The sequence below is a fragment of the Homo sapiens genome, chromosome 3 (assembly GCF_000001405.40).
Source record: "Homo sapiens chromosome 3, GRCh38.p14 Primary Assembly".
NCBI classification, from domain to species: domain Eukaryota; kingdom Metazoa; phylum Chordata; class Mammalia; order Primates; family Hominidae; genus Homo; species Homo sapiens.
In genome coordinates, this window is record NC_000003.12 from 142,008,781 (window position 1) to 142,034,342 (window position 25,562).

At 39.2% G+C, this 25,562-nt stretch overlaps 1 protein-coding gene across 26 annotated transcripts in view, besides 6 other annotated features; it reads right to left on the reverse strand.

Moving 5' to 3' along the window:
• The window catches only part of TFDP2 (transcription factor Dp-2), a 205,117-nt gene that overhangs the window by 64,353 nt on the left and 115,202 nt on the right, over positions 1-25,562 (reverse strand). For 5 of the 26 annotated variants that reach the window (NM_001178142.2, NM_001375779.1, NM_001178141.2 and 2 more), the window contains exon 1: positions 19,799-19,846. The exons of 18 other annotated variants lie outside the window; for them this stretch is intronic. Coding sequence is in view for 2 of the 8 variants with exons in the window: in NM_001375774.1 (NP_001362703.1) it covers positions 20,262-20,292 (31 nt within the window). In the remaining 6 variants the exon portion in view is untranslated. Of the gene's footprint in view, positions 1-10,932; positions 11,157-19,798; positions 19,847-20,261; positions 20,401-25,562 lie in introns of those variants that run through there. 3 more of the 26 variants (NM_001375774.1, XM_047448776.1, NM_001375776.1) reach the window with 2 other exon arrangements.
• Positions 13,632-13,691: an enhancer, noted in NCBI's record as "active region_20639". NCBI's record gives its function as "activates an Ori minimal core promoter by ATAC-STARR-seq in GM12878 lymphoblastoid cells {active_cell/tissue: GM12878}" and the evidence as "EXISTENCE:reporter gene assay evidence [ECO:0000049][PMID:35858748]".
• Positions 13,632-13,941: a biological region, named in NCBI's record as "Sharpr-MPRA regulatory region 4576".
• Positions 13,647-13,941: a silencer, noted in NCBI's record as "tiled region #4576; HepG2 Repressive non-DNase unmatched - State 13:Ctcf". NCBI's record gives its function as "represses a minimal TATA promoter and a strong SV40 promoter by Sharpr-MPRA in HepG2 cells {active_cell/tissue: HepG2}" and the evidence as "EXISTENCE:reporter gene assay evidence [ECO:0000049][PMID:27701403]".
• Positions 19,160-19,209: a silencer, noted in NCBI's record as "silent region_14783". NCBI's record gives its function as "represses an Ori minimal core promoter by ATAC-STARR-seq in GM12878 lymphoblastoid cells {active_cell/tissue: GM12878}" and the evidence as "EXISTENCE:reporter gene assay evidence [ECO:0000049][PMID:35858748]".
• Positions 19,596-20,097: an enhancer, noted in NCBI's record as "NANOG hESC enhancer chr3:141747218-141747719 (GRCh37/hg19 assembly coordinates)". NCBI's record gives its function as "activates a minimal SCP1, AML or CMV promoter by ChIP-STARR-seq in naive H9 embryonic stem cells {active_cell/tissue: H9 hESC(naive)}" and the evidence as "EXISTENCE:reporter gene assay evidence [ECO:0000049][PMID:30033119]".
• Positions 20,504-20,553: an enhancer, noted in NCBI's record as "active region_20640". NCBI's record gives its function as "activates an Ori minimal core promoter by ATAC-STARR-seq in GM12878 lymphoblastoid cells {active_cell/tissue: GM12878}" and the evidence as "EXISTENCE:reporter gene assay evidence [ECO:0000049][PMID:35858748]".

The window sequence follows — 25,562 nt, forward strand, 5'->3', positions numbered from 1 at the left end:
AAGCATCAATGAGGAAAAAAGTATACACATATATATACATTTTATGTGTGTGTATGTATGTGTGTATATTTTTTCCTCATCGATGCTTAGGACAGACAACAGTGTGAAATAGATTATTAGTGACCCTATTTTGTACATTAAGAAATTGAGATTGAGATTAAATACAAGGTCCCATAGTAGTGAAGCCGACAGCTCCACCTCCAAAGCCTCTGCTCTATGCATCTCCTTCTTGTTAAAAGCTGTCCCATCCCCTGTGGTCTAAATTCTGGATATTCCTCTTCTGGCTTCTCATAAAACCTGTTATTACTGACTTGCAATTCTATTATAAATGGGCTACGTCTCTCAGCTTTGTATCCCAGCATCTAGTTTAGTCCTTGGCACAAAACAGGTGCACAAATGATAAAAACTGTTTGATCAGCAAAGATTGAAAGTATTACCTTTCCTAATCTGGATGCCAAACTTCCTGCAATACAGTTTAATTACAACCCTTATTATTTTTCCAACCAAGATCATAACTCATCCTGAGTTTGAAATCAATTTAAACAGCAGGTCCTTTGTTTATTTTGCTTTTAACATGACTGAACTGGTATTATCAAATAAAGTTTCCCTACCTTGTAATTGTGCAACTGATTTTCTTAAAACAAAATGTGGCCGGGCACGGTGGCTCATGCCTGTAATCCCAGCATTTTGGGAAGCCAAGCAGGGCAGATCACCTGAGGTCAGGAGTTCGAAACCAGCCTGGCCAACATGGCGAAACCCTGTCTCTACTAAAAATACAAAAATTAGCCGGGCATGGTGGTACACACCTGTAATCCCAGCTACTTGGGAGGCTGAGGCATGAGAATCTTGAACCGAGGAGGTGGAGGTTGCAGACAGCCAAGATAGCGCCACTGCACTCCAGCCTGGGCAACAACAGAGCAAGACTCTGTCTCAAAAAAAAAAAAAAAGAAAGAAAAAGAAAAAGAAATTGACAAAACAAAAATTACAGTCCAGAAATAATTTCACCTATACATGAAAATTTTGTACATGATAAAGGTAGTATTTCAAACCAATAATGTTGAGACAAGAGACTATCCATTTGGATAAAAGAAATTTTAGATTTCAATTTTTCACACTGAACAAAAATAAATTTCAGAAAAATCAAATATTGAAACATAAAAATTAAAACTTTATAGAAGTATTAGAAGAAAAAATATAATAATATTTTTATAATCCTGGAATGAGAAAGGCCCTCCTCACCATGTTACAGAATTCAGATATCTTAAGTGAAAAGACTGATGGATCTGACTACTTTAAAAATCAAAACTTTCTCTATAGCAAGACTTAATATACTTAGAAGACAAATGTCAGGCTGGTAAACAAATGTGCAAGGCACAGGTCATTTGATTACCATTCTTAAAAATTTTTGTTTATTTAACCTACTCTTATAAATCAATAAGAAAAAGGCAATACTCCCATATAAAAATAAATCCGGTATATGAAGAAATACAGATGCCAGTCATCACATGAAAAGACGCTTGATTTTAATAATTAAAAAACTAACTTTTGGGCCGGGCGCAGTGGCTCACACCTGTAATCCCAGCACTTTGGGAGGCCAAGGTGGGTGGATCACGAGGTCAAGAGTTCGACACCAGCTTGGCCAACATGGTGAAATTCCGTCTCTACTAAAAATACAAAAATCAGCTGGGCATGGTGGCGTGTGCCTGTAATCCCAGCTACTTGGGGGGCTGAGGCAGGAGAATCGCTTGAACCCGGGAGGCAGAGGTTGCAGTGAGCCAAGATCGCGCTAATGAACTCCAGCCTGGGTGACAGAGCAAGACTCTGTCTCAAAAAAAAAAAAAAAAAAAAACCTACCATCAGAGTGAACAGGCAACCTACAAAATGGGAGAAAATTTTCGCAACCTACTCGTCTGACAAAGGGCTAATATCCAGAATCTACAATGAACTCAAACAAATTTACAAGAAAAAAACAAACAACCCCATCAAAAAGTGGGTGAAGGACATGAACAGACACTTCTCAAAAGAAGACATTTATGCAGCCAAAAAACACATGAAAAAATGCTCATCATCACTGGCCATCAGAGAAATGCAAATCAAAACCACTATGAGATACCATCTCACACCAGTTAGAATGGCAATCATTAAAAAGTCAGGAAACAACAGGTGCTGGAGAGGATGTGGAGAAATAGGAACACTTTTACACTGTTGGTGGGACTGTAAACTGGTTCAACCATTGTGGAAGTCAGTGTGGCGATTCCTCAGGGATCTAGAACTAGAAATACCATTTGACCCAGCCATCCCATTACTGGGTATATACCCAAAGGACTATAAATCATGCTGCTATAAAGACACATGCACACGTATGTTTATTGCGGCATTATTCACAATAGCAAAGACTTGGAACCAACCCAAATGTCCAACAATGATAGACTGGATTAAGAAAATGTGGCACATATACACCATGGAATACTATGCAGCCATAAAAAATGATGAGTTCATGTCCTTTGTAGGGACATGGATGAAATTGGAAATCATCATTCTCAGTAAACTATCGCAAGAACAAAAAACCAAACACCGCATATTCTCACTCATAGGTGGGAATTGAATATTGAGATCACATGGACACAGGAAGGGGAATATCATACTCTGGGGACTGTGGTGGGGTGGGGGGAGGGGGGAGGGATAGCATTGGGAGATATACCTAATGCTAGATGACGAGTTAGTGGGTGCAGCGCACCAGCATGGCACATGTATACATATGTAACTAACCTGCACAAGGTGCACATGTACCCTAAAACTTAAAGTATAATAAAAAAAAAAAGAAAAAAAAAAAAGAAGTGAGGAAAACAAGGAAAAAAAAAAAACAACAAACTTTTTTAAAAAGGAAACCTTTTTGCATACTAGACTGATAAAAAATTAACAAGTCTGATAATGCACTGAGTTGGTAAGGATGTGGCAAAACAGGCACATTTTAAAAGTACTGACTTGGCACCTACTATTCTATGTCAAGAACTAAGGCTAAGCATTAGGATATTCAGTGAACAAGTAACACTGTTCCCTGCACTCAAGGGACTAACATACTTTGTTAGTGAAGGGAATACTGTAGAGCCTTTCTGGAGGTTCTGACAATGTGTTGATTTTAATTAGAGAGGAATAAACTGACCCTTGTTAGAATACAAAATTCTACATAAATGCTTTAAAAATAATTCTACACTTTTTTTTCTTTCTTTCTTTCTTTTTTTTTTTTTTTGAGACAGAGTCTCGCTCTGTCACCCAGGCTGGAGTGCAGTGGTGTGAGCTTGGCTCACTGCAAGCTCTGCCTCCCGGGTTCATGCCATTCTCCTGCCTCAGCCTCCCAAGTAGCTGGGACTACAGGTGCCCACCACCACACCCGGCTAATTTTTTGTATTTTTAGTAGAGACGGGGTTTCACTGTGTTAGCCAGGACGGTCTCGATCTCCTGACTTCATGACCTGCCTGCCTCGGCCTCCCAAAGTGCTGGGATCATAGGCGTGAGCCACCATGCTCGGCCTATAATTCTACACATTTTAAAGCTTTTTTCCATTTCAACAAATACCCTCTGTTGCCTAAGTGGCAAGCTAATGTCTGGCTTCTGTGACATCATGATTGACAATGGGCATACCCTCTGACTAGCAATTCCTCTGGTGGAAATATACTCTAATAAACTAGGCAGATAAGAACAATTCTACATGTCCTGGGATTGGAGCATTGTGGAGAAAAGCAAAGACCTACAAACAATTTAAGTGTTTAAACATCTTTTGGTACATGTGTATGATGGAATATTATATAGTCCCTAAAAATACAAGCACGTATTGCCATGGAAAAATGTCCTATTATAAGAGAACACGATTACATTTACCTGAAAAACTACATATACATATATTTTTCATATATTTTTATATATTCATAAAAAGTCTGCCAAGAGAAACTACAAATTTAATAGTGGTTAGCACTGATGAGTAGCATGGAGGAAGCATTTGTTTTATACATTTTATTATTTAAAAAAACATTTTATGAAGATGCATGCACTTGTTTTATAATTTTAAAAGCTACTGTTGCCAGGCGCGGTGGCTCACGCTTGTAATCCCAGCACTTTGGGAGGCCGAGGCAGGAGGATCACGAGGCCAGGAGTTTGAGACCAGCCTGATCAACATGGTGAAACCCCGTCTCTACTAAAAATACAAAAATTAGCCAGGTATGGTGGCACGCATTTGTAATCCCAGCTACTTAGGAGGCTGAGGCAGGAGAATCACTTGAACCCGGGAGGCGGAGGTTGCCATGAGCTAAGATCGCACCACTTGCACTCCAGCCTGGGTGACAGAGCGAGACTCCATCTTAAAAATAAATAAATAAATAAAAATAAAAGTTACTGTCATTCTGAAAAAGAGAGAGAGAATGAATCAGCCATAGCTACTAAAACAAGTTGAAGATCTAGAAATGATTCTTATAAGTAGTAAAAATGAAATTTGCTTTAAAAGTAGTTAAAAGGATTCCACTAGAATTCCAATAGTTGTAATACCCAGAAATAAAAGCCACATGTTTAGACAAAACTTACTTCCATCAAATCAGCTATGTTTTTGACTCAAAAGGACACCTTTAAATAGATTATAAAGATTCAGTCAACCAAAATTCCAGCCAGGCTGAGAGAAGTAAAGTCTAAACAGTTTTTCCTAAGTGCATGGCCTAAATTCATAGCTCCTTGGCAATAGGAGCTCGACACTGTCCAGAAACTGATTCCTGGGACTCAGTGTATTAAAAACAACGATTTTTAATGTTGCCTGGATTTTGGTTCTGGCAATTCCCTCAATTAACTAAATGAGATCAATCACCTAGAGAAGTGGCTAAGAAACAGAACTAAAAACTTATGCCAGATCTTGGCACAGGCACAAGATTTTGGCTCAAATATTATTTCAATTTATTGAGTAACTGAAATATTTTTGTCTTCCACTAGAATTGTCTAGACACCACATATTTTTTTTTCCACTATAATTCTTTAGGGGGTTCCAGTTACAATTAATCACCTTCAATATGTCCAACTAAAATGAAAAAAAATATCCAGTTACATAATTGTGGTTTGTCTATATGATGCTAATATAACTTTTTTTTCATGGCACAGACTTTCTGAAAAAAATTTTTTTTTGCTTGAATTAGCTTTAGGAAAAACCTTCTTCACCCAAGCCTACATCACATCCTCCTACAAGAACCAAACTGGTAACTTACTATAAGAAATAATACATATTTTTTGTGGGTTTATAAATCTCTTAAATTAGAAGCAATGGTATATCCCATATATACAGGGTCCAACTTCCCAGAACAAGCTAACCTATTGCCCAAAATAAAAGTGTTTGGTTTGTTTGTTTTGAGACAGGATCTTGCTCTGTCATTCAGCCTGGAGAGCAGTGGCACTATCACAGCTCACTGCAGCCTCAAACTCCTGGCTCAAGTTATCCTCCTGCCTCAGCTCTCCAGTAAGCTGGAACAATTGGTGTGCACCACCATGCCCAGGTATTTTTTTTTATTTTTATTTTTTGTAGGGAGGGGGTCTCAGTATATTGCCCGGGCTGGTCTCAAACTCTTGAGCTCAAGCGATCCTCCCACCTCGCCAAAGCACTGGGATTCCAGGCATGAGCCACCACACCCAGCATAAATAAGTTAAAATGACCTAGACTGTGGTGGTGTATGTGTTTGCTGAAGTCCCAGAACACTAGGCTAAAAGGGGTGATTCTACTGTATGTAAACTATACCTTAATAAAATGATGGAAAAATGTAACTTGGGCGAGTTCATATTAATTAGTAAGATGCTAACTATAGATTACACCATCTTCTTGCTTTTCTTCTTCTGTCACCTCAACTGGCCCTTAAAAAAAAATACAGGTAGTTCATCTTCTTGTCTAAAAAACATCCCTTCAACTACTGTCCCTTTTAAGTCAGTCTCCTGCATCATCACAATCTTTCCCTCTCTGTCAGATCATTCTCATCAGCACATAAACATGCATAATTTCTTCCATCTCAAAAACAAAAAACCAACTTTTCTTGACCATCCACGGTCCTCCAGTTACCAACTAATTTGTTGCCCTCTACAGCAAAACTACTCACAAAATCTGCCAGCATTTGCTGTTTCCACTTCCTCCACATCTCAGTTTCTTTTGAACCCTCTCTTCCCAATTTTCCCCCACAATTCCACTGAAATTCTTGGCCTTCAATTTACTTTAACCTTCCATCTACTCTTGACACTTTTTAAAATCACACCTTCTTTAGAAACACTAACTCCACTTGATATCCAAGCCACCATTTTCTCCTGGTTCTCCTCCCAACCTACTGGCCATTCCTTCTCAGCCTTAGTTGTTGGCTCCTTCTCTCTAAACATTTGGGAGCCCCTTAGCTTGGTCCTCCAATCTCTTGTCTGTGAGCCCTTCCTCATGAGATGATCCCATCTAAGTCTCCTGGCTTTAAATACACTGATGACTCTCGTGTATATTTCTCCAGATTACATCTATTCCTTGAACTTTGGATTCACATATCCACTATCTTCTCATATCTCCATTTTGATGTCTTACACGTATCTCAAACTTAACATATCCAAAATCTAACTCTGGACTGCCCCCACCCCATCCAGAAATCTCCTTCTTCATCTCAGTAAATGAAAACTCTATTCTTCAACTGCTCAGACTGAAAAGATTACTGTTGAGACCTCACTTTCTCTGATATCCCACATTCAATCCATTCATAAGTCCCGCAAGCTGGATCTTTAAAATACAGCTTGAATACAACCACTTCTCACCTACTCCTCTGCTAACACTCTGGTCCCGGCCAACATCTTGGCTTCAATTACTGCAATAGGTTCCTGACGCAGCTCCATGCTGCTGCCCACCCTACCCCACAACTCTATTTCCATGCTCTCTAATACAGCACTCACTAGACACAGGTGGCTACTGAGCACTTGAAATGTGGTTAGACCTAGATTTTAAATTAATTTAATTTTAATTAACATATTTTAAAACTAAAGTAAATGAAGTATTTTCCCATTAAACACAACTTTATCATTTTGGTAGGGCTATATTTCACTTCAATTGCTGAAAATGTAGCATCTAAACTGAGATGTGCTCTAGGTATAAAATATGCATCAGATTTTGAAAACTTAGCACAAAAAAACTATAAAATATCTGACTAATAATGTTTATATTGATTACATGTTGGATGATGTTTTCAACTTCTTTATTTTTTCCTTAGAGATGGAGTCTTGCTCTGTCACCCAGGCTGGAGTATAGTGGTGCGATCTCAGCTCATTGCAACCTCCATCTCCTGGGTTCGAGCAATTCTCCTGCCTCAGCCTCCCGAGTAGCTGGAATTACAGGGGCCTGCCACCACACCTAGCTAATTTTTGTAGAGATGGGGTTTCACTATGTTGGCCAGGCTGGTCTCAAACTCCTGATCTCGTGATCCACCCACTTGGCCTCCCAAAGTGCTGGGATTACAGGCGTGAACCACCACGCCCAGCAACATTTTTTTTTTTTTTTTAAGACAGTCTCACTCTGTCACCCAGGCTAGAGTGCAGTGGTGCGATCTCAGCTCACTGCAACCTCCACCTCCTGGGTTCAAGCAATTCTCCTGCCTCAGCCTCCCGAGTAGCTGGGACTACAGGTGCCCACCAGCACACCTGGCTAATTTTTTTGTATTTTTAGTAGAGATGGGGTTTTGCCATGTTGGCCAGGCTGGTCTTGAACTCCTGACCTCAAGCGATCCATGTGCCTTGGCATCCCTAAGTGCTGGGATTACAGGCATGAGCCACCACACCTGGCCAGATGGTAAGTTTTAGTAAATGTTTGTATAATGTTTTAATAAATGTTTGGGTTCAATAAAATCCATCATTAAAATAAATTTCACCTGTCCCTTCATAGTATTAAAATATTGCTACTAGAAAATTTGCAATTACATAAGTGGATTACATTATACTAGGAAACCCAACTGATTTATCCTCCACACAGCAGTCAGAGTGATCCCACTACATGGAGGAGTCCTCTTCAAAACTCTCCAACTGGCATCACATCTCAGTTAGCTTGAGTCCTTAATGAGGGTTTACAAAGCCCTATATCATCTGCAGTCCTCTTTCTGACCTTGTCACCTGTCAATCTCTCCCTACTTCATTCCTCTGCATTCACACTGACCTCTTTGCTGTTCTTCAACCCATGCCAACCAAATTTCTACTTCATGGCCTTTGTCCTTCAAGTCTCCTCTGCCTGTAATCCTCCCCCAGATATCCTACGTCTTATTCCCGTTTCCTTCAAGTCTGCTAAGTTGACACGGCAGCAGAGATATCTACCACCCTATATCAGCACTTCCTAATTTACTATACTTTATTTTTCCACCATAGTACTTATCTCTATATGACACATTACATATTTATATTTACTTATATAATTACTATCTGTCTTGTCACTCTCAGAATGTTAAGTTCTACAACAATAGGGGCTTTGTCATCTCATTCATTGCTCCAGCTAGGTGTCTCCAACACTAGCATACAGCAGAGCTTAATATTTGTTGGATGAATAAATTGGTAAGTACATGAATGTCTACATGGAAGTATATATACAAATTCATAAAACTAGAGTGTACAGTGAAAACTGAGTCTCCTGCCATCCCGAATCACCACCAAAATATTCCCTTCCTTAGTGACAGCTGTGGTGCCAGTTTGTAGATAAGCTTCCAAAAATATCCTCAGCATATGCAAACACATATGCAAAAATATTCTTTTTTTTTTTTTTTTTTTTTTGAGATGGAGTCTCGCTCTGTCGCCTAGGCTGGAGTGCAGTGGCATGATCTTGGCTCACTGCAACCTGTGCCTGCCGGGTTCATGCGATTCTCCTGTCTCAGCCTCCTGAGTAGCTTGGATTACAGGCACATGCCACCATGCCTGGCTAATTTTTGTATTTGTAGTAGAGACGGGGTTTCACCATGTTGGTCAGGCTGGTTTCGAACGCCTGACCTCGTGATCCACCCGCCTCAGCCTCCCAAAGTGCTGGGATTACAGGCGTGAGCCACCGCGCCCAGCCAAAGATATCCTTCTATCAGTCTGAGCGTTGCTTTTATATCCATCTCAGATGCCTTTCCATATCTGTAGATGTAGTGTTGCCTCAATATTTTATTTATTTATTTATTTATGAGATGGAGTCCTGCTCTTGTCGTCCAGGCTGGAGTGCAGTGGCACGATCTTGGTTTACTGCAACCTCCGCCTCCTGGGTTCAGGCGATTCTCCTGCCTCAGCCTCCTGAAGAGCTGGGATTACAGGCACCCATCACCACGCTTGGCTAATTTTTATACTTTCAGTAGAGACAGGGGTCTCGTCATGCTGGCCAGGCTGGTCTCAAACTCCTGACCTCAGGTGATCTGCCCACCTTGGCCTCCCAAAGTGCTAGGATTACAGGCGTCAGCCACCGTACCAGGCCTCAATGTTTATTTTATTAGCTACATAGTATTCCCTTTTATGGCTCCAGCAGTCTATTTATTGAGCTCCTGAGTAATGGAAAAGTTTTAGTATTACATATACTACTGCAATGACTATACATATTTCTTTACCCACATTACTTGTATCAACTGTGTATTTCTCCCTTTAGAAATGCATGAAAGTCTCCATTTACATATATCCTCATTAATCTACTGTTTTTTATTTTTTTATTTTTTTAGAGACGGGGTTTCCTTCTGTCACCCAGGCTGGACTGCAGTGGAACAATCACAGCTTACTGCAGCCTCAAACTCCAGGGTTCAAGTCATCCTTCCCACTCAGCCTCCTCAGTACGCCACCACATCCAGCTAATTTTTAAATTTTTTGTAGAGACAGGGTCTCACCATGTTGCCCAGGCTATTCTTGAACTCCTGGGCTCAAGCAATCCTCCCACCTCGGCCTCCCAAAGTGGGACTATAGGTGTGAGCCACTGCACCCAGGCAATGTGTTTTTAAATTTTATTTTCTTTGACAACTTTTACATTTAAAATTAAGTATAGTAACTCATTTTGGTCTTATTTTGGTTTTAATATATTGTTATGAGTATGGCTGAACACTGAGCATCTTTTGTTTAAAAGTTATGTAAATGTTCCTTCCTGAAAATTATGTCCACCTATTGGTTTTTGGTGAGTTTTTTTTTTTTTTTTTGGTAGAACGTCTTTAAATATTGAAGAAATACGTTTATTCTATTATACTTGCTGCAAATATTTCCCCCAATTGAACAGTGTTTGCTTTTATATATTATTCTTCGCACATTTTTTTTTTTTTTTTTTTTGTTTTGGTGAGACGGAGATTTACTCTTGTTGCCCAGGCTGGACTGCAATGGCACGATCTCGGCTCACCGCATCCTCCGCCTCCCAGGTTCAATGGATTCTCCTGCCTCAGCCTCCTGAGTAGCTGGGATTACAGGCATGTGTCACCATGCCCAACTAATTTTGTATTTTTAGTAGAGACGGGGTTTCACCGTGTTGCCCAGGCTGATCTTGAACTCCTGACCTCAGGTAACCCGCCCGCCTCAGCCTCCCAAAGTGCTGGGATTACAGGCGTGAGCCACTGCGCCCGGCCTATTTGCACATTTTTAAGAATGTAGTCAATTTTGTAACTTTTTAATGACTTTTGTGTCAAACTTAAAAAGGCCTGTGTGTGTTTAAATATAAAAATGAAGGAAGTGAGACTAATTGCCAGGGTTTTCCTAAATTTACCTTTGCTCCCTGGAAGTGTACTTTATACATGCACTTTAAACATGCTGCATTTTACTTATCGTATAGGTTTTATATTTCCAGTTGGATATGCTGTTCTTATAAATTAATTATCAGCAGTTAGAATGTATACTAAGATTATATTAAACACCCCCCCCAACATCTTCTTATACAATTTTAAAGCCTTCATTTTAAATTATAAATCCTTGACCCACCTGGAAGTTATCTGATATAAGAAGTGACAGATCCAAGGTTTTCCCCCTGAGTTAGCCACTTTTAATGAATAATCCACTCCATGCTGATATGAAATGCAACCTTGAGTTTACTTATTTGGGTCAATTTATTGATTTTCTATTCTGCTCCACTGATCTGCCTCTTCATATGTCAGTTCCCCATGGTTTTGTTTCATTCATGATTAACAGTTCCACAAAAGAATAAGCTGAGTCAGAAAAAGAAAGTAGTGTCAGAGCATTTCCTTCCTTCCTGTACTACCTTTTAACTATCTGTTAATAACTACTGTAAAAGACTATCAATTAGCTTCAAATACAGTACTGAAGAGGTCAAGTCACAGGTCAATTCTAGAAGGGGCAATTTGTTTTGCAAAGAGAAATGATTTCACAACCTTAAGACTGTATTTCTAATTTTAGCCAGCCATCTAGAAAGCAATATATGCCACTGAAAACAAAGTAGACTAGGGAGAAAGGATATGGATGACTCAGGGGATATCTATCACCTGTATTTCAAAAATAACTCTTGGGCCAGGGACGGTGGCTCACGTCTGTAATCCCAGCACTTTGGGAGGCCAAGGTGGGTGGATAAGGAGGTCAGGAGTTCAAGACTAGCCTGACCAACATGGTGAAACCCTGCCTCTACTAAAAATATAAAAAATTAGCCAGGAGTGGTGGTGTGTGCCTATAATCCCAGCTGCTTGGGTGGCTGAGGCAGGAGAATTGCTTGCACTCGGGAAGTGGAGGTTGCGGTGAGCCGAGATGGTGCCATTGCACTCCAGCCTGGGCAACAGAGCAAGACTCCGTCTCGGGGGGGAAAAGAAAGAAAGAAGAAAGTAACTCAGGCTCTGTAGGTCAACAGCATCACCTATGTAAATGAAATAAAAACAAACTTTGCAGTTACTCTGACTTCCTTCATTTTTATGTTTAAATATACTCATATACCTTTTTCTTTAAAAAAAAAAAAAAAGTTTTCAGGCTAGGTGTGATGACTCATGCCTACAGTTCCAGCACTTTGGGAGGCTGAGGCAGGAGGATTGCTTGAGTCCAGGAATTCAAGACCAGCCTGGGCAACATAGTAAGGCCTCATCTCTACAAAAAAATAATAAAATTACCCAGGTGTAGTGACACACACTTATGGTCCCAGCTATATGGGAGGCTGAGGCAAGAGGATCTCCTGAACCCAGGAAGTCGAAGCTGCAGTGAGCTGTGTTCATGCCACTGCACTCCCATCTGGGTGACAAAGCAACACCCTGTCTCAAAAAAAAAAAAATAGTTTTCACTTTATTTACTAACTAGTATTACCTACCTGCACATGCACATTACACCACTGTTATGTTTTATTTTGATGCATTTGTACTGAACCATGTTCGCCAAAAGTCACTAAGATTAAATACAAAGTTAATCACTATTACAAAACTTTTTAACTGAATGACCTCAACATCACTATAATTGGGATGGGTGACAAAGAGAAGATAAAAAAGTTCATAATATCTCCAAAGTATAATGGTTAAAGTGACCTCTGGAACCTTCCTCTTTCTATTTGGTTCTAAATGGAGATCAGGCATCCCATTGTGCAAAGATAAGGACAGAAAATCTGACACGCACATTCCTACATATCACATACACGGAAGGAAAAGCCTGAATGTTTCTGCAGCTGCCAGAACATAGAGAACTTTCAGGATTCACCCAAATGGATCACCTAACCAGAATCTTTCCAAAGGATCCTTGAAATGACCATAATATTAAGTGTATTTATAGCTCTATGGTCATATTTCTAAATGAATAAATCTTATATGTCAGTCTTTCCTACATACTTTCCCTAGAAGATCAAACCTGTTCTCTTGGCTTTGTTGAACATTTTCACTTAGGGGACACTTTCTAAAAACGATTAGCTAGCTCCCTCCTTTTCTTGTATCTAGAACCATGAATGCCCTAAATTCTTAAATTTGAAAGGAGAAAAACATTTTTTCTTCTCCATCTTACCACATTGCAAGATTTAAACAGTATCTCCTCATTGCTTAAGCAAACTCCTCAATTCAAGCTCTGGTATCTGGAATATTATAATTGGTTTCATTTAGTTCATCAAACCTAAAAGATCTTAGAAATCACTAAGGTCACTTGCAGGGCCCTTCTCCTTCAATAATTTTTTAAGTGTTCACCCAAAAACATTTGTCTCATCTGTAGGTTTGATACTGCTGGTTTTTCATTGGCTTCTTTATCTTTAGTTAAAATATGTCCTTTTGAAATCTTTTTTCTGTTAGCATATTCAGTCAAGGAAACTTTTTAATTGTTCAATTTCTCATTTTTCTTCCACCTGCTCAACTAAAATTTCCTAGTTTTGAAATGTATCTTCTGATTAATAATTGAGGAAGTTTACTGTATGTCCTCAAACAACTTGATCCTCCCAATCCTTCCCGGCAGTTCTTCCCAAATATGAGTGATCACAAGATTCACTACAAAGGGAAGAGAGGTGTCTCTTATTCAAAACACACACTCCTGAGCTCCACTGGACACCTAAAGATTCAAAAATTAGGTGGAGAATTTGTATTTTTAAGTGCCTCAGATGATTCTTATGGTCTGGTAAGACTCTTTGTTCAAATTAAGGAAATAACGAAATGCAAGTGGACTCTAGTACACTGAACTTATTTCTATTCTCATTTTAAAAGAGTCTGAGTGACCCTTATTTCTTCTGTTTCTTGTTCTTAAGTGTTATATTTTTTCACTGTTTAGCCCATTTTCAATCACCACTGTTAGCACCATCACAACAGTCAATACACCCACCAGATGGCACACAGACACTGTTTACAGGCCTAGTAAAAGAGAAAGCACAGAAAGCAGCACATTTTATCTCATACCAACAGCCACTGAATGGCTAGAGTTGATCAAGACAGCTGAGTGCAACCACAAGGATCAGAATTTATGAGTACTCAAATACCCAAGAGTACTTCACTGGAAATTACTCTCATGAAGAAGCTCACAGTCCGAGAGGGTAGCCAGACAGGGGTAACAGATAAATCCTTTTAAATTTACAGTTAAGTGAGATATTTTTCTAATATTTATAAGAGGTGACCATGACTGCAGACAGACTTTGAATTAAAAAGCTGGGTTCCTGGGCCGGGCACAGGTGGCTCACGCCTGAATCCCAGCACTTTGGGAGGCCAAGGCGGGTGGATTACGAAGTCAGGAGTTTGAGACTAGCCTGGCCAACGTGGTGAAACCCCATCTCTAGTAAAAATACAAAAATTAGCCGGGCGCAGTGGCATGCGCCCGTAGTCCCAGCTACTCAGGAGGCTGAGGCAGGAGAATTGCTTGAACCCGGGAGGCGGAGGTTGCAGTAAGCCAAGATCGTGTCACTGCACTCCAGCCTGGCAACGCAGTGAGACTCCCTCCGTCTCAAAAAAAAAAAAAAAAAAAAAGAAAAAGAAAAGAAAAAGAAAAAAAGTTGGGTTTTTAAAATAAGTTTTTTTATTTATTTGAGATAGAGTCTTGTTGTGTCACCTAGGCTGGAGTGCAGTGGCGTGATCTCAGCTCACCGTAACCTCCGCCTCCCGCGTTCAAGTGAATCTCCTGTCTCAGCCTCCTGAGTAGCTGGGATTATGGGCGTGTGCCACCACATCTGGCTTTTTTTTTTTCTTGTATTTTTAGTAGAGACAGGGTTTCGCCATGTTGTCCAGGCTGGTCTCGAACTCCTGACCTCAAGTGATCCACCTGCCCCGGCCTCCCAATGTGCTGGGATTACAGGCGTGAACCACCACGCCTGGCTGGGGGGTACTTAAAATAAACGTAAAACTTTAGGATACAAATTCAAAGGGACCAAGGACCACCCATGAATTAAGAGTTCCAAAGCAGTTCTTCTCCTTAGCAAATAAAAGAGGGGATCGTTGTTTTATAATACCATGCACTAAGTAGCTCACTCAAAACTGCAGTAAGTTATTGATATTATAATCTCAACAATATATTCTACTTGAGGGCTATTACTGAAGCTACATTTAAATCACATTGTGAAATGCAAGAAATCTTAAAGTTAGACATCAATGTCAACAAAATCTCTTTGTATTAAAAATTTATCCATTAAAGATTTTTAAATTTTTTTTGAGACAGGGTCTTGCTCTGTTGCCTAGGCCGGAGTGCAGTGGCATGATCTCCACTCACTGCAGCCCTGACCTGGGCTCAAGGGATCCTCCCACCTCATTCTCCCGAGTAGCTGGGACCACAGGTGCGTGCCACCATGCCCAGTTAATTTTTGTATTTTTTGTAGAGACAGGATTTTGCCATGTGCCCAGGCTGGTCTTGAACTCCTGAGTTAAAGTGATCTGCCTACCTCTCCAGGTGCTGGGATTACAGGCATGTGCCACCATGCCCAGCCCATTAAAAGATTTTTGAGAACTTTTATAAATAAGTTCTACTGTGTCTACCTGGCACACAGTAAGTGCTCACTTAGTGGTCTGTTCATTTTTCTGTCAGAGAAATTGCCAAGAGTTGCCAAATTTTCACTACAAGTGAGCAAAGTGCCAAAACCAAAGTCCCCGGTTGATAGTCTCCAGCTTTAGAGTTACCATGTAAAAATTCATTTGAAAATTGGTTTCTTGAAACTTGGTAGAAAGAAACAACATAATTACATGACAGGTTCCTGGATCAGTTCACAAAACATAGTTAATTCATAATATACTCAAAGCACCATACTCATACTGGTCTACCTGCTCCTCAACAATGTAAAAGGTTTTCTCTTCAGAGAAATATAGGCATCAGGCACATCTCCCCTCTTACTCCACTCCAGAGATGAGAAATTTCAAGGTGGCTGTTATTTCTAGTTGCATATGTATATATAAGGCAGAAAAAAAAGGCTAAATCATTGACCTCTCTGGGTATTCTGAATCGGGTTACAATAAATAGGTAAGGCTCAGGTTCCTCTAAGACCTCAGTTTTGTGATAAAGAGTTCATACATAAAGCAAGAACTTCAGGTACTCCTGAAGTCTTCTTTCAGTATACATTTTAAATATTTAATTTAAGACCGGGTGCAATGGCTCATGCCTGTAATCCCAGCACTTTGGGAGGTCGAGGCCAGAGGATCACCTGAGGTCAGGAGTTCGAGACCAGCCTGGCCAACATGGTGAAATCCCGTTTCTACTAAAAATACAAAAATTAGCCGGGTTTGGTGGCGGGCGCCTGTAATCTCAGCTACTCGGGAGGCTGAGGCAGGAGAATTGCTTGAACCCGGGAAGCACAGGTTACAGTGAGCTGAGATTGTGCCACTGCACTCCAGCCCAGGCGACAACAGCGAGACTCTGTCTCAAAGAAAAAAAAAAAAAGATTTAATTTAATATTTAAATTGATTATGACTGGAAGTATTTACTAGAAATTAAAGACAATTAAGGAATTACCTCTAAATGGCAGATGAATTAGGAAAGTTTTTGTTTGTTTTTTCCTTCAGACACTCCCAACCAATTTCCAGGTAACAAACTTGAATGGTTTGGTTTCTCATAGAGTATAAATCAACAATATAATATAGAAAATTATACTCTCTATGTTCTATACTCCATATATGCTAAAACTAATGTGCTCTTCTCAACCATAATTTGACCACACATTCAATAATTCCAAGATAATTTACACATACAGAGGCAGTGGGAATTCATCTTAAAATAATTCAACTGATTTTGGTCTTCATTTCTCAATTTGAAGGGCTAGGAGTCCAAACTATGTCCTTGTTGCTGTTGCTGATACTGTTTTCCTTGTTAAGTAACTTATTGTCATGTCTACATTTATAATTGTAAGTGATACACATTTTTTATAATCACAATCTATGATGCTGTCACAGTTATGTATTACATGTGGAGTGACCAACTTTTTTTTAAGCCTGTCTATTCCATCAAAATTTCTGTTCTTTGATCAGAATTGTAAAAAAAGTTCTTTAGGCAAATCTATAGTTTGTAAATCCATTTTAAAGTCCATGTAAATTGTTTTACTTATTTTAGAGAGAAAAAACCTCAACCATTACATGTTGCTATTCCTTAAGATAAGCAAAATGTACATAGATAAGTTTTAGAATCTGAATCTTAATTGAAATAATGATTCAATAAACTTCAAAGGCCAGGCGTGTGGGCGCATGCCTGTAATCCCAGCTACTTGGGGGGCTGAGGAAGGAGAATCGCTTGAACCCAGGAGGCAGAGGTTGCAGTGAGCCGAGATCACACCATTGCACTCCAGCCTGGGCAACAAGAGCGAAACTCCATCTCAAAAAACAAACAAACTTCAAAATCTCTAAATTTGGTCATCATTATTTGAAGAAAAGAAAATCTTCTGGCCGGCGCAGTGGCTCACGCCCATAATCCCAGCACTCTGGGAGGCCGAGGTAGGCGGATCTCAAGGTCGGGAGATCGAGACCATCAGGCCGAGGTGGGCAGATCACGAGGTCAGGAGATTGAGACCATCCTGGCTAACATGATGAAACCCCATCTCTACTAAAAATACAAAAAATTAGCTGAGCGTGGTGGTGGACGCCTGTAGTCCCAGCTACTGGGGAGGCTGAGGCAGGTGAATGGTGTGAACCTGGGACGCAGAGCTTGCAGCGAGATTCCGTCTCAAAAAAACAAAAAAACAACAAAAAAAAACAACAAAAAAATAACTTCAGGTAAGCCCACAGATCTTAGCTAACAGCAAGAGGAATTTTTAATAATCTGCTTGAATGTTGATATCTTTTCCAGCCTTCTCTCTCCTTAGGCCAATTATTTAGAAAACTGTATAATAATTAATCCATATGCAAATTTTAAACTATAGCTCAAAAACTTTATTGGCTACTGTAAATTACTACGAATTTTCCAGTGTAGGGTATGGCAAATATTGAATAAGTGCCTCATATGTGAAAGAGCTGGTGCTCAGCACTGATTTTTCAAGAGCAAACTTAAGAAATGAATAAAGTTGTAATGTGTATACACGCACATTATACAACAGCATAGGACTTCTTTGTGTTACTTGTAAAAGGAAAGGTTTTCACTTTCCTCATTATGAATTCCAAAAATTCAAAAACTGTTTTTCAAAATTTTGACTGCTTTCATTACACGCATAATGCTTCCACACTCTTCATTCCTACTCTTTTCAGCAGATAAACATTCTCCTCTTTCCATTAGCAACCAATCCAAGCTTATTATCTTTCTTTTTAGAGGCAAACTGCAACATATCATTTCAATTAAACCCAAAATATTACTCCCATATTTCTTATGCAAAGGTCTTAGGAATAAGCCTCAGCTTCTCACAGAAGATGAAATCATCTATCAACATATGTAACTGATGTTTCTCATTTTATTTTCATTTTGAGATTTTGTACCTACTGTCTAGTGATAAACTTTTGCAACTGTTTCCTCTATATTTTAGATGGCTTAGGCTTTAAAAAAATGGTCTATATGATTTAATTATCAATTTTTTCCTTAAGTGAAGTTCAACAGAATTAATTTTCTCACATTTTCATTAATTATACAGGCTACAGGCAATATTTAAAGTTTTTTTTTAAATATTGGGTATGTTACTCATTTTGTTACTCTATGACTTTCAATTCCTGAATATAAAATAATAAATTTTAAATGACTAAATTTTATTTATTCACTGATTAAATCAGATTTATGACCTCCTCTCTCCATTCCAGCTACTCTGAGTTTTGAATGAAACAACCTCAATTGTAACAGAAGAAACATCTGTTGCTTTTTTTCTTCACCAGGGCTTTCCTAACTGAAAGAAGAAAGACTCTCTGCCTGACCTCCTCTCCCTCTCCCTCTCCCTCTCCCACTCCCGCTCCCCACCCACACTAAGTTCCTTAAAACTTTTTTAAGTAAATGTATTATTTAAAATTTCACTGTATCTATTAAAAACATCATAGTTTAGAAACATTCACTTCCTTATTGAACTTCAAAGAATGACTAAATGCTATTATATATCAAAAAATAAGACGTGTCTAATAGAATATACGTTGTAACTAAAATGCAAACTTCAAGGGTATAATTGAAATGATCAATTCAATCAAGTTGTCATATATTCCGGGGTCATTAAGAATTGTTTAGGGGTAAGATTTTCTTCACAGTATCCAGATTCATATAGCATCTTGTATGCTATATTTTCTTTGCCAGTCCAAGGCTAACATAATGGCAGTCACTACCCCAAGAGGCAGACACCAAATGGTGCCACCCACACTCTCACACTGTGCCTCATAATAAACCATAAAGCAGTGGAATGCACCGGCCCCTTTATGAGCAAACAATGCCTAAGCTTCATTAGAATACAGCTGACATTTTCAAAGCACAAATACTTTTAAGAAAAATGTACTAGGGAAAAAAAGGAATGAAACAGCTATAAAAGCTGAAATATTTTTCAAGTGTCAGGTTGATTTCCAAGGATCCTTGGGAAGTATATTTTGCTGTTGGCAATTTAAAAGTTTTCGTAAGTGGAAAAAATGTTTAGTTAAGGGCAAAGCTTATTTTATTAACTACTGGGGAAAAAAATGAAAGTAAAAACTATCCTTTGAATTGCTTTCACAAGTAATAACCATGAAGTACCTTTAAAATTACTGATTTCCTCAACTGCTGCTTTAGTTCCTGAATTAAGAAAACTGAGCTCCAGAATTATTTTCACATTTTAATTAATTTATATAAGTAACTGAGTAATAAACTAATTCTTCCCCTCCCCCCCCACCCCAACCCCCATACATAACCCTGTAGTTTTTCTGTCTGCAACAAGCAAGGACGTCTTGAAATCAGCGTGCTCCTGGCTATTTATCAATTTAATATTGCTGCTGCTTAAAGAATATAAAATAAGAGCTGTAAAAACTCACCCAGCAGTGAGAAACAAACTGATCTCTCTTACCTGGTCTAAGGAAGCATGCCTCTCACTGCAGTACCAACAACATTCTACAGTCTTTGTTACCATTCAGTGGAAACTTGAGACTGTGTCAGACGTAAGCAATCGAGCTCAGAAAAGCTCAATTTAAAATACTTCTCAGTAAAACTAAAAAGATGCTCAAGAAAACTGTTTAGTTAACTGGCTTTCAAAAGACATATGAATACTGTTTACAACAAAGACATCTCAAAAGAAATTGAAAAGTGCAGGTCTTAGATGAAGGGGCTTTTCTATGTAGAACCTTGTTTTCTTATTAAATTAAAAGGATATTTTTATTTTAAAAAATGCTTAAAGTACACACTTGATCTTAGCCAAAAGGCCGAGAAGCAATAAAAATGCTTAAAGTAAAAAGGGTGAAATAACTACAAGTTAACATTTTTCTAAATATCACTTGCCTTTTAACTAACTTAAAAAATAAGATTAAACTTACTCGTGAAACCTGCATAATTTGAATTATACATATCAGAGTATCTGCTGGCTCCAAAGCAGTCACAAAGCAGGAGACTTAATGCATCTTGAAAGCAGAGCAAAAGCACCACGAGTTTCAGGGGGAAAAGAGGAGGAGAAACTCTTGAAAAACTGGTCGGGGCTTTTTGAACCTGTAATAACTGTCCAGCTCTTGTGGGAGGAAAAAAATGTCCCAGTCCTGCCCCGAGATAGGAGGCTATGCTTCAATGCCAAAATGAATGACAGGCCCATTTCTGATATCAACAAAGAGCAGCTTAGTTGTGCTTTTTTTTTTTTTCCACTTTCCCACACAGAAGTTCTAAAATTTCCAGGTTAGTCCCTTTATAGCTAGGGTTAAGTACCTTTCTCCATTTTCTCAAGAGGGAACTCAATTATGTTGTCCTGGTTTTTTTTTAAATGACTAATTAAATATACATACCTAATCATCTTACTTAGTTTTCCTAGGCAGGAAGCTGAACAAAAGATGACCTCTTAGGTTCCTTTCCAAATCTATTCTTTTCAATATCAGATAACCATATGACTGTCAATATTAATAAGCTTTTCCAGCATCCTGATGTATGGCACAAGTAGAAACAAAAAGCAAGGTAACATTAAAAACAAAGCAACTGAGATAAAATTTTCAACTAGCAAGATGTAAAGATAATTTACCAAGGTATGTGTTTGATTACAGAAATTCAAAACAAACACTCCAATCAACAACATATATTTGCTGAATACTTATTATGAGCCGAGCACTATTTTGGGCCCTGGAGATACAGTAGTGAATGCAACAGACAAAAGCCAAACAAAAAATCTCTGTCTTTCGTGAGCTTAGTTTATTTCAGTTCACTCTAAGTACAACTCTCCTAGATGACTAAGGTACTTTTCCTTCGTTGACTAGTTATCACCTATTCTGAAATATTCCCCTTGGAAAGTATGTCTTGACAACAGCTCCAGGAGACGCTGTAAAGTATTTGGTGCTCCGTTCAGTGTTGTATCACCAGTGTCTAAAACAGTGTCTGTTAGACACTCAAATACATATTGAATCAAATAGATCAGAGAGCTTCTTCTTACTCAAAATTTTCCTTTGCCAACACATATTATACTTACATGCATACAGAGATATGACAACAATAATACAATACAGGGTGTAAATTAAACTGGGTTGTAAACACGTGTTAGTATAAACAAAACTGAAAATACAACCTATATGGCCCTCTATCTTTCCAGATTCTACAATAAAATCTGTTTTCACTACTGGATGTGAGGTCAGTATAATATCTGAGTAAATAAATCACATAAAATTCTATAAAGTAAGTTTTTGTGGACAGTCAGATTTCAGAGGAGTTTTGAAAGAAAAAAGAAACTTGGAAATTACACAGAATCTGATCAGTTTGGTATATTAAAATCTTACATGTTTATATTCATTTACATTCCCACATTTGGAAACAATTTTAAACTCCCCATCCTGCTTTGCACCATTCTTGATCATCTTACCAGATGACGCTTCTTACAGAGAAAATAAGTGTACACCTTTAACCTGTCAGATCAGCTAGAAGTGCTCACCTGTGTCACCCAAGGCCAGAATATTCAGGGGCTAGATATGGTCACACCTACTCTGTTATAGTCTTAAAACAAAAGGAAATTAAACATCCAAGTACTCAAGTATATTCCCGTGTTCTCTTTTTTTTTTTTTTTTTTTGAGACGGAGTCTCGCTCTGTCGCCCAGGCTGGAGTGCAGTGGCGCGATCTCGGCTCACTGCAAGCTCCGCCTCCCGGGTTCACGCCATTCTCCTGCCTCAGCCTCCCAAGTAGCTGGGACTACAGGCGCCCGCCACTACGCCCGGCTAATTTTTTGTATTTTTAGTAGAGACAGGGTTTCACCGTTTTAGCCGGGATGGTCTCGATCTCCTGACCTCGTGATCCGCCCGCCTCGGCCTCCCAAAGTGCTGGGATTACAGGCGTGAGCCACCGCGCCCGGCGTATTCCCGTGTTCTCTAAATAGGAGAGCACCCCCCCGGCCCTCCAATTGTCCAGAGCTAGACAACAATTACAAGTTAAAATATAAACTATTTAGTGTATGTTTTAACAATAAACCTAACAGCAACCCAAGGTCAGAAAGATGTGATAACTGAGGTCAAGTGACAAATAAAATAAGGTGGGGCCAAAGTAGGATTCTACTGTTCTTGCAGAATGAATTTTCCTTTTCCCATTCCTTCCTTCAATAAATACTGAGCACCTATTATGTATCAGGCACTGAGCTGGGCAACAAATTGACCTGTTACCTACTGTCTACTCCACAGATCTGACCTTCAGCCAATCTATTCCTTCAAGTTTCCTTCTCCATGCTTGCCTTCCTTTCCAGAGCCTTTTCTCTGGTCTCAAATTCTTTACTCATACTACACCCCTTCAATCTGCTCTGATGTCTTTCTTGGCACGTAGCATAATCACTACCTTTTATGTTCTTCTGCAAGTGTATGACACAGTGTGGGGAAAGTAATAAGACTTCCCACTCAGATGATAAAAATGCAGATTATATAGGTTGTGTCAAACAATTTCTCCTTAATCTTATGTAGAAAATCCATTTAAACATCATTAATTACAACTACTGATTATCTGGAAAACACCAAAGGTAGCTGGACATTCTCCTAGGTTTATAAACTGATTTATTTGGACTGGAGTTTGTGACATTTATTGGCAATCTGCCCAAATATTAAGCCCATTTAACAGACACATTTATGATTCTATAGGCAGAAATAACACTATAATAGTGTAATGATGGCAGGCATTGGCCAAATAAAAACTATCTATCAGATCTATATAATGAAGCAGTAGAAATTAGTTACATTGTACCTGTACTTACATTTTCAAGTAAAATATTGAATCTTCCTGACAAGCACTACACCTAAAGCAAAAACTTTCTGCTATCACTTGCATGGTTAGGTGCCAATTTCTTAAAAACATTGCATAGTAAATATTTCATATTTCCTGTTTGCCTGCTGCTCTTCCTCTTTCCACTTTTTTTCTTTCTCTCTCTCTCTCTTTTTTTTTTAAGAGAGAGAGGGTTTTGTTCTTTCATGCAGGCTGGAGTTGATGTGCAGTGGTGTGATCACAGCTCACTGTAGCCTCAATCTCCTGGGCTCAGGTGATCCCTCCCACTTCAGCCTCCCAAGCAGCCAGGACCACAGGTGTGCACCACCATGCCTGGCTAATTTTTGTATTTTTTATAGAGACAGGGTTTTGCTATGTTGCCCAGGCTGAACTCCTAGGCTCAAGTGATCCTCCTGCCTCCCTCCAAAGTGCTGGGATTACGAGTGTGAGCTACTACGCTTAGCTCGACTCTTTCAATATGCACATTTTTCTGAGTTCTGTGCTCAATGCTCTTTTCTTCAAGATCTACACTCCCACTCTAGAGGATGTGACCTATATTCTATAGCTTTATCACCTCTACAAAGATGACTACAGAAATTTATACTTCTAGCCCTGGCTTTTTCTGTTCTGCTGTAAACTCTTCTTTAGATGCCTATTGGACATCTCTGTTTATATATCCCATAATCTCAACTCAGTATTGAACTTCCTGTCTACCTTCCCAAACCCACTCATCCTCCTAGGTTCCTCATCCTTGTTAAAGGCATTAATATCAAGAACAGAAAGTGATTTTCTTCTTGCCTCATCCTCACCACCCAAATGCCCACATTGTTTCCATTTTTTTTCTAACATATATCATTCTCCCAGTTTAAAAACAAAACAAAATGAGAAATATAACTTCTGATGTCTAGAGCTATACCATCCAAAATGGTAGCCTTAGCCATATGTGGCCATTTAAATTTAAGGTGATTAAAATTAAATAAAATCAGCCAGGCGCAGTGGCTTATGCTTGTAATTCCAGCACTTTGAGAGGCTGTGGCGGGTGGATCACCTGAGGTCAGGAGTTCAAGACTGGCCTGGCCAACATGGTGAAACCCCTCTCTACTAAAAACACAAAAATTAGCTGGGCATGGTGGCAGGCCCCTGTAATCCCAGCTACTTGGGAGCCTGAGGCAGGAGAATCACTTGAACCCAGGAGGCAGAGGTTGCAGTGAGCCGAGATTACACCACTGCACTCCAGCCTGGGCGACTGAGTGAGACTCTGTCTTATAAAAATAGATAAATACATAAAATTAAATTTAAAATTTGATTTCTCAGTCATGCTAGCCACATGTCAAGTGCTCTATGGAGCTGCATGTGGCTAACAGCTACTGTATTGAACACTGTAGATATAGAACATTTCCATCACTGAAGAAAGTTCTATTAAACATCTCTGATCTAGAAATCAATGGCAAACCACTTAAATTAGTAATCCAAATTTTTTTCAACATAGACCCAGCTCCAATCTACCTGTGTTAACGTTATCTTCTACCAAAACCCCTATGCATGCTTTATCACAACTTAGTGGGGCCCACAGAATTAAGTTTAAGGCTTCACAAAGATAAGGGAGGCCTACACGAGCTACGTGGCGAGGGATCTATAGGAGGGAAAGAAAGCAAAGATTCTAGAGAGGACAGAAATAGTTCACTAAAGCCCCCACAAGTTAGGGAGGGACAAAATTTTGGAGATAATACCTTTAGCCTTAGAGAAGAAATATGGTACAGTGGAGACAGCATGAGCATTAGAGTCAGAATACTTCATCCAAATTCAAGTATTTGTTTAGTTATAAGGGACAGAAATCGAACTCAAACTAGTTTAACATGAAAGGAATTAGTTGGCTCAGCTGGCACACAGAATCCCAAAGGGTGAGATAACTGAACCAGGAGGGTCCACTTTGCAAAAGGGTCTTTTGTAGGCAACAAGGGCTTTAGCTTTCAAACTTACTTCCCTCTTCAGAAACTTTAATATTTCTCTTCCCACTGAGTTCATCTTAACATTTCAAATGCAGAGATTGTTCCCTTCTAACTGCTAACCAAACTAAAAACATCATACTTCCCATCTCTCTTTAATCACTAAAATTTTTTAGTGTGGTATCTATAGCCACTATCTCAGCTTTTGCACCAACTTTTTTTTTTTTTTTTTTTTTTGAGACGGAGTTTTGCTCCTGTTGCCCAGGCTGGAGTGCAATGGCGTGATCTCGGCTCACCTCAACCTCCGCCTCCCAGGTTCAAGCAATTCTCCCGCCTCAGCCTCCAGAGTAGCTGGGATTACAGGCATGCGCCACCACGCCTGGCTAATTTTTTTTGTATTTTTAGTAGAGACAGCGTTTCTCCATGTTGGTCAGGCTGGTCTAAAACTCCTGGCCTCAGGTGATCCG